Genomic DNA, 13,376 nt, shown 5'->3' on the forward strand with positions numbered 1-13,376 from the left:
TAAAATTCTGTTTTTAGGGTTTAAAGTGAGAGGAAATTAGGCAAACATATATACTATTTGTAGGTGCTTAAATAGGTACCATACCTATAGAAAATTTGTATATGTATTAAAATTTAAAGTATATCCCTTTTTTGACCCAGCAACTTAATTTCTATAAATTTATAGTATTTGTGTTTTATTATTCTATGAAATAACACATATATAGTATATCAACTACCATGTGGTTAATAGCACAAGCCTAGGAATAAAAAATGATATTCAAAATATCGATTAAATATATTATAGTACATCCTTACCATAGATTTCTATATAATCCTATATGTAGTGTTACGGATTACTCAGATAAATAAAGAAAAAAAAACAAGGTGCATAATAGGGGTATAAGATTCAACCAATTGTGTAATGCACACACACACCCAAACACACACACGTGCACACACACACACATTCAACAGATCTAAAATACCATAAGGAGAGTCATTATTTTATATAACACTAAAAAGAAAAAAATTGCTGCCAATTAAACTATGACATAATGCTTTCTTATCTTTTGGAAATTTCATTTAACACACACTAAAACAGCTTTTTGATACTTTAGGCATGGATTTTGATTATATATTACTATTGCATATACAGAAATAACTATGTTAAAATTAACATTAAAGAACTATTTTTGTAAGTCACTTTTGCCTCAGAAGCATTGATTCTGTGTCTTTTCACATACTCAAGGACATAGATCGTGCTGCATTTCTTTTTCTTTACAATTTTTTTAAAATTTAACTCATCTTAAGTTTAGGGGCACATGTGCAGTTTTGTTATGTAGGTAAAATTGTGTCATGGGGATTTGTTGTACAGATTATTTCATCACCTAGGTATTAAGAATAGTATCGATTAGTTGTTTTTCTTGATCTTTTCTTCCTCCCAACCTTCACTCTTAGATAGGGCCCAGTGTGTGCTGTTCCCCTCTATGTTCCCATGTGTTCTCATCATTTAGCTCCCACTTATAAGTGAGAACATGCAGTATTTGGTTTTCTGTTCCTGTGCTAGTTTGCTAAGGAATAATGGCCTCCAGCTCCATCCATGTTCTTACAAAGGACATGATCTCGTTTTTTTTTTTTTTTATGGCTGCATGGTATTCCATGATGTATCTCTATCACATTTTCTTTAGCCAGTCTATCATTGATGGGCATTTAGGTTGATTCAATGTCTTTGCTATTGTGAATAGAGTTGCAATAAACATACATATGCATCTTTGTAATATAACAATTTATATCCCTTTGGGTATATACCCAGTAACGGGTTTGTTGGGTTAAATGGTATTTCTGTTTCTAGGTCTTTGGGGAATCACTACACTGTCTTTCACGATGTCTGAACTAATTTACACTCCCACCAACAGTGTATAAGCATTCCCTTTCCTCCACAGCCTTGCTAGCATTTGTTATTTTTTGGCTTTTTAATTATAGCCATTTTAAATGTTGTGAGATGGTATCTCATTTGCATTTCTCTAATGATCAGTGATGTTGAGCTTTTTTTCATATGATGTTGGACACATGTATGTCCTCTTTTAAACAGGAATTTTAAAAGCCTGAATAGCTAAGGCAATTCTAACCAAAAAGAACAAACCTGAGCAAACAACCCAACTTCAAACTATACTGGAGGACTACAGTAACCAAAACAGCACAGTACTGGTACAAAAACAGAAACATAGACCAATAGAACAGAATAGAGAACCCAGAAATAAGGCAGCAAACCTACAATTACCTGATTTTCAATAAACCTGAAAAAAAAAACAAGCAATGAGGAAAGGCTTTCCTACTCCATAAATGGTATTGATATAAGTGGCCAGCCATTTGCAAAAGATTGAAGCTGGACCTCTTACTTACACCATATACAAAAATTTACTCGAGACAGAATAAAGACTTAAATGTAACACCCAAAACTATAAAAACCCTGCAAGACAACCTAGGTGATACCATGCTGGACAAAGAATGGGCAAAGATTTCATGATGAAGTTGCCAAAAGCAATTGCAACAAAAGCAAAAATTCATAAATGGGATCTAATTAAACTAAAGTGATTCTGCACAGCAAAGGAAGTATCAACAGAATGAACAGACAACCTAGAGAATGGGAGAAAATTTTTGCGAACTATGCATCTGTCAAAGGTCTAATATCTAGCATCTATAATAAACTTACACAAATTTCCAAGAAAAAATAAACAACCCCATTAAAAATTGGACAAATATGCTGAATTTCTTAAATGTAGGTCCATTCTCTCTCTAGGATTTCCCTCTGCTACTGACATGCATTCTGCACATTTTGATGCTTTGTACTTTATTGTATAGGTGAGAAGATGTCATGGAATAGTTTTAGGTCACAACCAGAACTCATATTATTTCAGTTTATTGGTTAAAAATGAAAACATTTGTCTAGATTGGCCAAGAGGAATGAAATCCAAGTTTATGTATGTGCAAGCAATAACAATCATATCATGTAAAACCTGGTCAACAGGGTTTGCAAGATGTCATTGTTGATGAAATACTTTCCAGTTTTAGACCCACTAAAATATGGAATAAAACCATATCGCTTAGAATAATTAAAATGCAATGAGTATATGGCATACATACACATTGGATTATATAAATATAAAATATCACTGAAGTTATACATGAGAAACTAGTAACAGTGGTTGTCTTAGGACAATCCAGGGACAGAAAAGAGAGACCTAGTTTTTACTTTCTACCCTTTTATACCTTTTGAATGATATGTTACAATCATCTACTACTTGTTCTACAATGACAAAAATAATTATTTGTTTCCAGAATAATAGATTTATTCCTTATTACTAAATCAGTGTTTCAAAATAAATAACATGTCTACAACTGACAGAACATAATATTATTTTAGGTGATATGACTATTTCAAAACAGTTCTATGTATACATTTACCTTAACATATGTTAAAGACAATAAATCATCAAGTCCACTATTTTCATAGTTAAAAATTTCATTTTTCATTGAAATAAATGAGATCATAAGTTTAGAATTAGGATCAGGGAGAGCCTGTTGAATTCAGGGTATAAAGAGAAAATGGAAAATCCTTGGAGAGTGGAAGAGTGTATTTAGTTTTGCTAGATAGTACTAAAGGCCCAGTGAAAATAATCTCTGTTTATAAATTTGAAGTTAGATAGTTAGAAGAACACTGTGTTCTTTTTTAGTTTTACCAGTCATGTTTAGGTGGTTGTGTGCAGCTAGTGAGAAGACGGAAAAGTGGGCTTAAGAAGGTGTGGTACTTTTCTAGGGAGACCATCTGATGAACAGAGGGATGGGGATTTCTTTGCTCACCTCTTTTTTGACCTCTTAAATGCTCAACACCCCCAATGTCTTGCTCTGGTTGACACCACCTCCACAAACACACTGAATTAAACCATTCTGAAGTCAGAGAGTTGTCTGGGCAGAGGTCATGAGAATGCTCATAAGTTTGTTGCATGTTTACCCTTGTTATTGTGTACAAGCCTCCTTAAAGTTTTAAAAACCATCCTGGAGTTGTTTTCTCACAAAAGAGACAAGGCTGACATTTGGCTGACGAATTATGCCAGTCTTTAATCAACCCATGGGAATAGTGGGAATCCGGTATTGGATATCATCAGAATGAATATAAACTATCAGCTGTTACTAAATAATCATTGATGCAAAATGTGATTGAGCCCTCCGTCTATTAATAAGGAATAGAATTCAGCAGCAAACCTATTTGCAAAGAAGGAAGATTTAAATGAATCTATTTTAATGAAAGAAAATACATTTTAGAGTTTTAAATATTCTATAAATCTCCCTGTCATTCTATAGTTAAGAGTGACTGACTTACTATCACCACAGATAGCTATTTGTTACCTCATTGCTGTATATAATTACTCAGTAAATAAGTGCAAATTATAGCTACTAAGGCAAGCTCACTAACACAAATGTTTCATGTCAAAGACAAGAACAGCAATCACGGCCGGGCGCGGTGGCTCACGCCTGTAATCCCAGCACTTTGGGAGGCCGAGACGGGCGGATCACGAGGTCAGGAGATCGAGACCATCCTGGCTGACACGGTGAAACCCCGTCTCTACTAAAAATACAAAAATTAGCAGGGCATGGTGGCGCGCGCCTGTAGTCCCAGCTACTTGGGAGGCTGAGGCAGGAGAATGGCGTGAACCCGGGAGGCGGAAATTGCAGTGAGTCGAGATCGCGCCAATGCGCTCCAGCCTGGGCGACAGAGCGAAACTCCGTCTCAAAAAAAAAAAAAAAAAAAAAAGAACAGCAATCACAAAATATTTCTACTCTCCTGTTTTGAGAGTTTATTATTTCATAATGGCACTGACAGTATTTGAAAAGCCATTTCAGATATGATTTCCTCTATCAGTATACAGTATGGTGAAATGATGGTGATGATTATTACAATGATATGATGATGATGATGATTGTTATTATTATTGTTTAAAATACAACAGGGTAGTTATGTTCATTTTGAGAGGGGAAACAGAAGTGCTGGCATAACTCTATGCATAGTATAAACAGAAATCGGACACTTCACTTCAATGTTGTTAACATCAAAGTAGTTTTCTTAAATTATTTCTTCACTTTGCTTTTCTCTTACCTGGAGCATACATGATCATTACATTTTGCTTCCCATAACTCATGTAGTTATTTCAGAAAAGATATTTAAATATAGATAACAGATAATAAATATTTTAATATTATAATAACAAAATGACCTACTCCTTTAAATGCCTATTTATTGACATTTATTTACAAATATAAAGAAAAATGATTTGTGCAAACCACAAATAGTGTTTTTAAAATACTTCTTAATTTATGTTCTCTTAGCTGTAAGACAGTTTTGCTCTTTCCTACCTGCAATTGGGCCTCAGGAAAAAAAAGATGGAGTGAATGCCATGTCAGAAAGGAGAAGGATGATATAGAAAAGCTCTCTTCTTTTAAAGAGTGTAGGGGGTTCACCCACTAAGGAAGGGAATTAATGGATTTAAATGTGATGGTAAACTTTAAACATCCATGTTCTTATATTTTTTCTGTGGAAATGACGAGTTAGAAAAAGTTGATCTTGAGAACACTAAGAAGTAGTGGTGGTCAGTGAGATGATTATCTAGAAGTTTGAGAATGCTGCAGGACACTGGGATGTGGCCATATTTAGCATAGCATGTACGACATTGTGTGGCACTAGGAGATGAGAGTGATTCAAAACGATTATGTTTTTGTCCTGGAAAAGGCTTGCAGTGAATCATCATACACCTGGATTGGGATGAAGTGTTTGAAACTACACTATGTAACAGATGTCCACAAAGTGTTAAATGAAACAAAGAGCTCCGTTGCACCTCAGTGGTAATGAGTAAAAGGAACAGAAAGGACCAGCCACAATTTAGCAGAGACTAGGAATGATGCAGAGAGAATTATGTTGCCTACTGTCTCCTGACACTACTACAAGGTCATATAAACCTTATATCCAGCACACAAAATGTATCTTAGGAAAAGCAAATGGAGTGAGAAGAACTCTGTGCAGATTACATAATTTGAAACAAATATGTAAACATAAAGAAACAGGGTCTCTGGATATGAATGAATTTACTGGATTGTTCTGAATATACACGTGAGACTGTGGTTGTTATTCATTCAACAGGCTTCTGACAAAGAAGTCGTAGAAAACAAAACAAAAATAGTTATATTCTCTTTAAACATCTGAGTATGCATTAACAAAAATACAACTCATTAGACATAATTTTAATTATCGTGTGAAGAAATAATAAAAACCCAGTGGTTAGCTACTAAAGCCTGCAACACTCTTAATTATAAAAATAGAAAGAATTCCTAATGCAACTGTCCCCTAGATGTGTGGCATGGAGGACAAGCAGCAATTTTCAAAGAGCAAACTTAAACATACTATTAAGTTTCACAAAATTCAAAATCATATTTAAATGCCTAGTTCTATTGTAATGTCAACAATATAACTTTTTCTTAAAACTACCTTTTTCATTTCCAAATATTAAACAATAATATTGATTAAGAACATTAGAAACAGCTTAATAGGATTTTTGCTTTTATTTTTGTTATTTTAGTTTTTTACACTCAACAGTTGGACAATATGTTAAACACAGAATTTGTTTAAAATAAAGTTTTATATCAATCCAGTTTGTACTTGCTTTAAATTTAGAATTTCTAATTGTCTCCGTTTCAAAGTGATGGTATGAAAGAAAACATCAATGAATCTACTTTAGCACCAAATACAATGATGATCTAACAGCTTGCAAACACAATTTAACATAATATTGTACCTGAAGAATAAATAAGCTCAATTCTCCTAGAGGCATTTTGCAAAATATCGACAAATGCAGAGCATGTTGAGCATGAAAAACATGCTCAACAAGGGTCTGCTATTATGGTAGTATATTTTATAATGCAAGTATTACCTGCTTTTTCTGTTAATTGGAAAATTTTTTTATTAGGATGCTCATTCAAAGGTGGAATAAATGACTTCAGGAACCCTTTCAGGGTCCCATTATTTTTGTGACTAGAGAAATGCATTACAAAAATTTCTAAGGGTATTTTTTTGCTTTGTTTATATTTCTGGAAATATATAAGAGAATAGCCGTTCTTCAATTCACAGATTATTGACAAAACATTTTTCTAAGTTATTAGAAAATTATGAAAATGTAAGAAACAGAAACCTCCCTGAAGCCCTTAGCTTACCTATAACTCAGCATATATGACAACTCAGGGTCTGAGACTCAAAACGGAGATGTGATTTACATATTGTTTCTAAATGATTTTTTAATATATAAATATTCTGTCCCTAGAATGTTATTTTAATTGGAGATTAGGGTGGTGTATTAATCTGTTTTCACACTGCTATAAATAACTGCCTGAGACTGGGTAATTTATTTTTAAAAAAGTGGTTTGATTGACTCACAGTTCCACATGGCTGAGGAGGCCTCAGGAAACTTACAATCATGGCGGTTGGTGAAGGGGAAGCAAACACCTTCTTCACTAGGCAGCAGGAGAGCGAGAGAAAGAAAGCACCACACATGTATCAAACAACCAGGTCTCATGAGAATTCTATCAGGAGAAGAGCAAGGGGAAAGTCCACTCCCATGACTCAATCACCTCCCACCAGGCCACTCCCCCAACAGGTGAGGATTACAATTTGAGTTGAGATTTGGGTGGGGACACAGAGCCAAACAATATCGGGTGGACAATGTGCAAGCACCCATTTTATTATCTACTGTTATTAAACTTCATTAAGGAGGAGGTAACTCCTTCTTCAAACAGATAAACATAATGTAAGACTTCAAGGACCTGAAAAATCAAGGAAATATGACATCACCAAAGGAAGACAAAAAATATATTAGTAAGCAACCCTAAGAAAATGGAAATCTATGAAATTTCTGACAAATAATTCAAAATAATTGTTTTAGGGAAGCTCAGTGAGCCATAAAAGAACACAGATAAACAATTCAATGAAATCAGAAAAACAATACAACAAAACAAGACATTTAAAAAAGAGATAGAAATCATTTAAAAAAAAAAAGTCTGGAGCTGAAGAATACAATGAATAAAATTTTAAAATGCAATCAAGAGTGCCCATAGCAAACTTAATCTAGTTGAAACAAGAATCTGTGAACTCAAAGATAGGTCATTTGCAGAAAACTCTAATAAGAAAAGAAAAAAGAATCAACAGAAGTAAAGTAAGTCTATGGATATATAATACACCATCAAGAGAGCTAATAATTTTCATCATAAAAACTTTAGAAGACAATGTTTTTTCCTTCCAAATTTTATTTTAGGTTCTGTTGGTACATGTAGAGGTATTAAACCAGGTAAATTGCCTGTTGTGAGGTTAGGTGTACAGATTATTTTATCACCCAGGGAATAATCATAGTACCCAAGAAGTCATTTTTCTATCCTCACCCTCCTCCCTCCCTCACCTTCAAGTAGGCTCTGGTGTCAGTTGCTCCCTTCTTTGTGTCCACATATACTCAATTTTTAGCTCCCAATTAAAGTGAGAAAATACTCTATTTGCTTTTCTTTTCATGCGTTAGTTTGCTTAGGATAATGGCCTCCAGCTCCATCCATATTGCCACAAATGACATGATTCTGCTCTTCATTATGGCTGTGTAGTATTCCACATATATATCATTTTCTTTACCCAATTCACCATTGATGGGCATCTTGGTTGATTCCATGTCTGTGCTGTTGTGAATAGTGCTTCAGTGAACACATGAGTCCATGTGTTTTTTGGTAGGATGTTATATTCCTTTGGGTATAAACCCAGTAATGGTATTGCTGGGTCAAAGGGTAGCTTTTTTAAAGTTCTTTGAGAAATCTCCAAACTGCTTTCCACAGTGGCTGAACTAATTTACATTCCCAGCAGCAGTATACATGTGTTCCCTTTCACCTGCAACCTCATCAGCATCTGTTATTTCTAAACTTTTAGTAATAGCCATTCTGACTGTTGTGAGATAGTATCTCATTGTGGTTTTGATTTGCATTTCTGTAATGATTAATGATGTTGAGCATGATTTCATATGTTTGTTGGCCAGATGCATGACTTCCTTTGAGAAATGTCTGTTCATGTCCTTTGCTCACTTTTAAATGAAATTGTTTGGTTTTTGCTTGCTAATTTAAGTTCCCTATAGATTCTGGATATTATGCCTTTGTCAGATGCATAGTTTGCAAATATTGTCTCCCATTCTTTAGGTTGTCTGTTTACTTTGTTGATAGTTTCTTTTGCTGTGCAGAAGCTCTTTTATTTAATTAGTACCTATTTGTCAATTTGTGATTTCTTTTAACACTTTTGGATCTTTGTCATGAAATATTTTCATGTTCAGAATAGTATGGTCTAGGTTTTTTCTTTTGGGTTTTTTTCTAATTTTAGGTTTTACATTTAAGTCTTTAATTTATCTTTAGTTGATTTTTGTATATGAGGAAAGGAATGAGTCCATTTTCAATCTTCTGCATATGGCTAGCCAGTTATCCCAGCACCATTTATTGAATAGGGAGTCCTTTCACCATTGCTTACATTTTCCAACTTTGTTGAAGATCAGGTGTGTGGATTTGTTTCTGGGTTCTCTAACAGGTTCTATTAGTCTATGTGTCTGTTTTTGTACTAGTACCATGCTGTTTTAGTTACGGTAGCCTTGCAGTATAGTTTAAAGTCAAATCGTGTAATGCCTCTGGCTTTGTTGTCTTTTCTTGGGTTTGCTTTGGTGATTTGGGCTCTTTTTTGGCTCTATATAAATTTTAAAATAGAATTTTTTTAATTCTGTGAAAAATGTTTTTGTTAGTTTAATAGAAATAGCATTGTATCTGTAAATTGTTTTTAGCAAGCCGTATGGCCATTTTAACAATATTGATTTTTCCTATCTATAAGCATGGAACGTTTTTCATTTTGTTTGTGTCATCTCTGATTTCTTTCAGTAGTGTTTTGTAATTCCGGTTTTAGAGGTCTTTCATCTCCCTGGTTAGCTGTATTCCTAGATATTTTGAGAAATCTTATTTAAAGAAATAGTAGTTAAAAGCTTCGCCAATTTTTGGAAAAATATAGACATCCAAGTACATAAAGTTTAAAACTCTTGTCACTTTCAACCAAAATAAAATTTCTCCAAGCTCTATTATAGTCAAACTATATAATTCTATACTTAGAAAACCCCCACAGACTCCAACAGAAGGTTCCCAGAACTGATAAATCACTTCAGTAATGTTTCAGGATACAAAATCAATGTAGAAACATCAGTAGCATTTCTATATACTAATAATGTCTAAGTTCACAGCCAAATTAAGACTGCAATTCCATTTACAATAACCAAAAAAAAAAAAAAAAAGAATAAAATAGCTAGGAATACAGCTTACCAAGGAGGTGAAAGATCTCTAAAACCAGAATTAGAAAACACTGCTGCAAGAAATCAGAGACGATACAAATGGAAAAAGGTTCCATGCTTATGGACAGAAAGAATCAATATTGTTAAAATGGCCACACTACTCAAATCAGTTTTCAGATTCAAAGCTATTCCTTTCAAACTACTAACATCTTTTTTTAAAAAAAGAATTAGAAAAAAAACTATTTTAAAATTCATATGGAACCAAAAAGGAGCCTGAATCACCAAAACAATCCTAGGCAAGAAGAACAAAGCTGGAAGCATTACACACAGGAAGAAAAATATTATGTGACCTCACTTATCTGTAGAATGTAGAAAAAAAATTGAATTCGTAGAAACAGAGAGTTGAAAGGTGGTTACCAGGGGTTTGGTATGGGGGAAAGAGTGAGGAGTTGGTCACAATGCACAAACTTGCAGTTATAAGATAATTTTTTTTAAAAAAAAGTCATTCTTATTTTTATGGATAAAGCATAGTAGTTTATTTTAGTAAAGAACTTTGTTTTTCTTAAAGGGTATATTAAAGTTTGAAAAATAACATTCTAGTTTAAATCTATATTTCTTAATATTTTTTTCTTAAGTTTTTAATTCTGCAGAATATCTATTGCAAGTCAGGTTTGTCTGTTTATGAGAAATTTAATAGAATTGCCAGTGTCATAAAATAATTTTTATACAAAAATAATTTTATTTTTCCTCCCAGGATTAGGATTATAATATTCAAATCCTCTATGAATTCAATTTTTTTTTTTTTTTTACATTTTACAGATAAGTGAGGTCACATAATACTTTTTTTTCTGTGTCTGGATTATTTCACTTAGGAAAATGTCTTCTAGGTTCATCTATGTTGTCACAAATGATGAAATTTTTATCTGTTTTAAGATTGAGTAGTATTCTATTGTGTAAATATATCACATTTCCTTTATCCATTTATCCACTGATGAATACATTGGTTGTTTCCATATCTTGGCTATTGTGAGTAACGCTGCAACAAACATGGGAGTGCAAATATCTCTTTGAGGTACTGATTTCATTAGAATTAGAATTTCCAAATACTTTTGTCTGAGGATAAACAAATACATTTATGTGTTTTTCTCACGTATTTTCCTTCTCCTCCCTCTCTTCATCCCCCATTTCATTCAGGTGGCCACATCCTTACCACTTTTCTCCTTACACTATAAAAATAAGCACAAAATCTGCTTGAAGATGAGCCTTAAAGAAGTGTGATAATCATTTAAGCTTATTGAAGACCTTATGTCAAGACATTGAGGCTGGCATGTTGCTGGGGAGCGTGGATATTAAAACACACCACACACACACATTATACAGGGACTTTAGATGGTAGTTGAGAGAGAAAGAAGAAATAGAATGTGAGTTAGAAGTAAGAGGAAACAACAGATGCCATTTTTCTCTGCCTGTCAGGAAAACCATGATGCAGAACTGTGAAAAATATTTTCTCTATCTTTTTTCTCTTCCCATTACACTGTTGGTGAAGAATGCTGAGAAAATAGATTGGGTGAGAGAGTACACAAGAGGAATCTGGAATTGCAACAGATGAAGATGGCCTGGATGCAGATTTACATTACAATGTCTGAATTCCTGGGAACTGTCATATTGTTCACCATAGGGTGAGTGCATAATCAAATGTCAGTGTTCACAGGTGACACAAAAGGCAGGAGGACAATTTTACTAGGTTGGTGAGAGAAACTAATGAGTTTCTCTGGGAGGCAAGTATAGTGAAGTTTTACAAGGAGACCAGGAAAAATGTTCACACTTATTTTTCTAGGATCATGTGCTCTTAATTATTAACTGTAAACTTGAAACATGTTTAGGATTATTAAAAATTTTTTGTTTGTTTTTTTAAATGTAATGACAGAATAGTGGTTGATTGTGATTAAAAAGATCAAATAAACATTCTCTTTTTTTTTAATGGTATTAGACTTATGTAGCCCAATTTCTTTTAAGCACTCAGCTAGTAGGTTAACACCAGTTGGCATGATTGGTATTTTGGGTAGTTACGTTGAATTCATCTTGGGAAAATTTGCAAAATATATTTTATTGGCATTTTTATATACTTTATTATTATAGTTCTTAGTAGTACACGTTAAGGGAGACTTGAAGAAATCTGCCAAATTGCTATTAAGTAGTTAATAGTATTGAAATGCTATTAAGTATTAATAGTAAGGATAAAAGACATATCAATCTGATATGAAAATTCATAAAATAGCAGATCCAAATGGCCAAATACACATAAAACACGCTCAAACACAATACTATGGAAATTTAAAATAAATGAACACTAATTTTTTAATCTAATTTAATTGGCAAAAAACAAGCCATAATATAGAAAAACGATGCTTTTATTTACTGTTAATGGAAATAAGTTTACATCCTTTTTGGACACAATTTGATGATTACAATGAAAAGACATATGGCTGTAAGTAACAGAAGTCTAATACGGCAGTGGTAAAATAAAACGCAGTCATGCTTCACTTAATGATGAGGACATGTTCTGAGAAATGCATCATTAGGTGATTTCTTTGTTGTGTGAATATCACACAGTGTACTTACACAAACCTAGATGGTATAGCCTACTATGCACCTAGACTATGTGGTGGCTCCTAGGCTAAAATCCTGCACAGTATATTATTGTACTTAATACTGTAGTCAATTGTAACACAATGGTATTTGTGTATCTAAACATATCTAACCATAAAGAAGGCATAATGAAAATATGGTATAAAAGATAAGAAATGGTGCACCTGCATAGGACACTTAACCATGAATGGAGCTGGCAGTACTGGAAGATTGTCTGGGTTAAGTCAGTGAGTGAGTGGTCAGTGAATATGAAGACTTAGGACATTATGGTACACTATCATAGATTTTATGAACACAGTACACTTAGGCTACACTAAATTTATGAAAATAATTTTTCTTCAATAATAAATTAACCTTAGTGTATTATAATTTTTACTTTATAAACTTTCAAATTTCTTAAGCTTTTTAACTCTTTTGCAACTTTTAATATAAAGCATAAACACATTGTACAACTGTACAAAAATATTATTTCTTCAGATTCACACTCTATAAGCACTTCTTTTTTTCTTTTTAAATTTTATTTGGTTAGAAAGTAAGTCAAGGACATACATCAGCCTAGCTCTACACAGGGTCAGGATCATCAGTATAACTGTCTTCCACCTCCACATCTTGTCCCACTGGAAGGTCTTCAGGGAGACCTTCATGGAGCTGCAATTCCTATGATAAAAATGCTTTCTTCTGGAGTACCTCCTGAAAAACGCAACTGAGGCTGTTTTATAATTAAATACACACACACACACACAGAGTACACTCTAAAATAACAATAAAAATATAGTATAGTAAACACTAGATGATAGAAATTTTTCAATTCTATTGTGATCTTATTGGGACCACAATTGTATATACAGACAGTTGTTGA

General features: G+C 33.3%; 1 long non-coding RNA gene across 2 annotated transcripts in view; it reads right to left on the minus strand.

Moving 5' to 3' along the window:
• The window catches only part of LOC105379102 (uncharacterized), a 328,753-nt gene that overhangs the window by 209,125 nt on the left and 106,252 nt on the right, over positions 1-13,376 (minus strand). The gene's annotated exons all lie outside the window — the stretch shown is intronic.

This window comes from Homo sapiens, chromosome 5 (assembly GCF_000001405.40).
Source record: "Homo sapiens chromosome 5, GRCh38.p14 Primary Assembly".
NCBI lineage: Eukaryota > Metazoa > Chordata > Mammalia > Primates > Hominidae > Homo > Homo sapiens.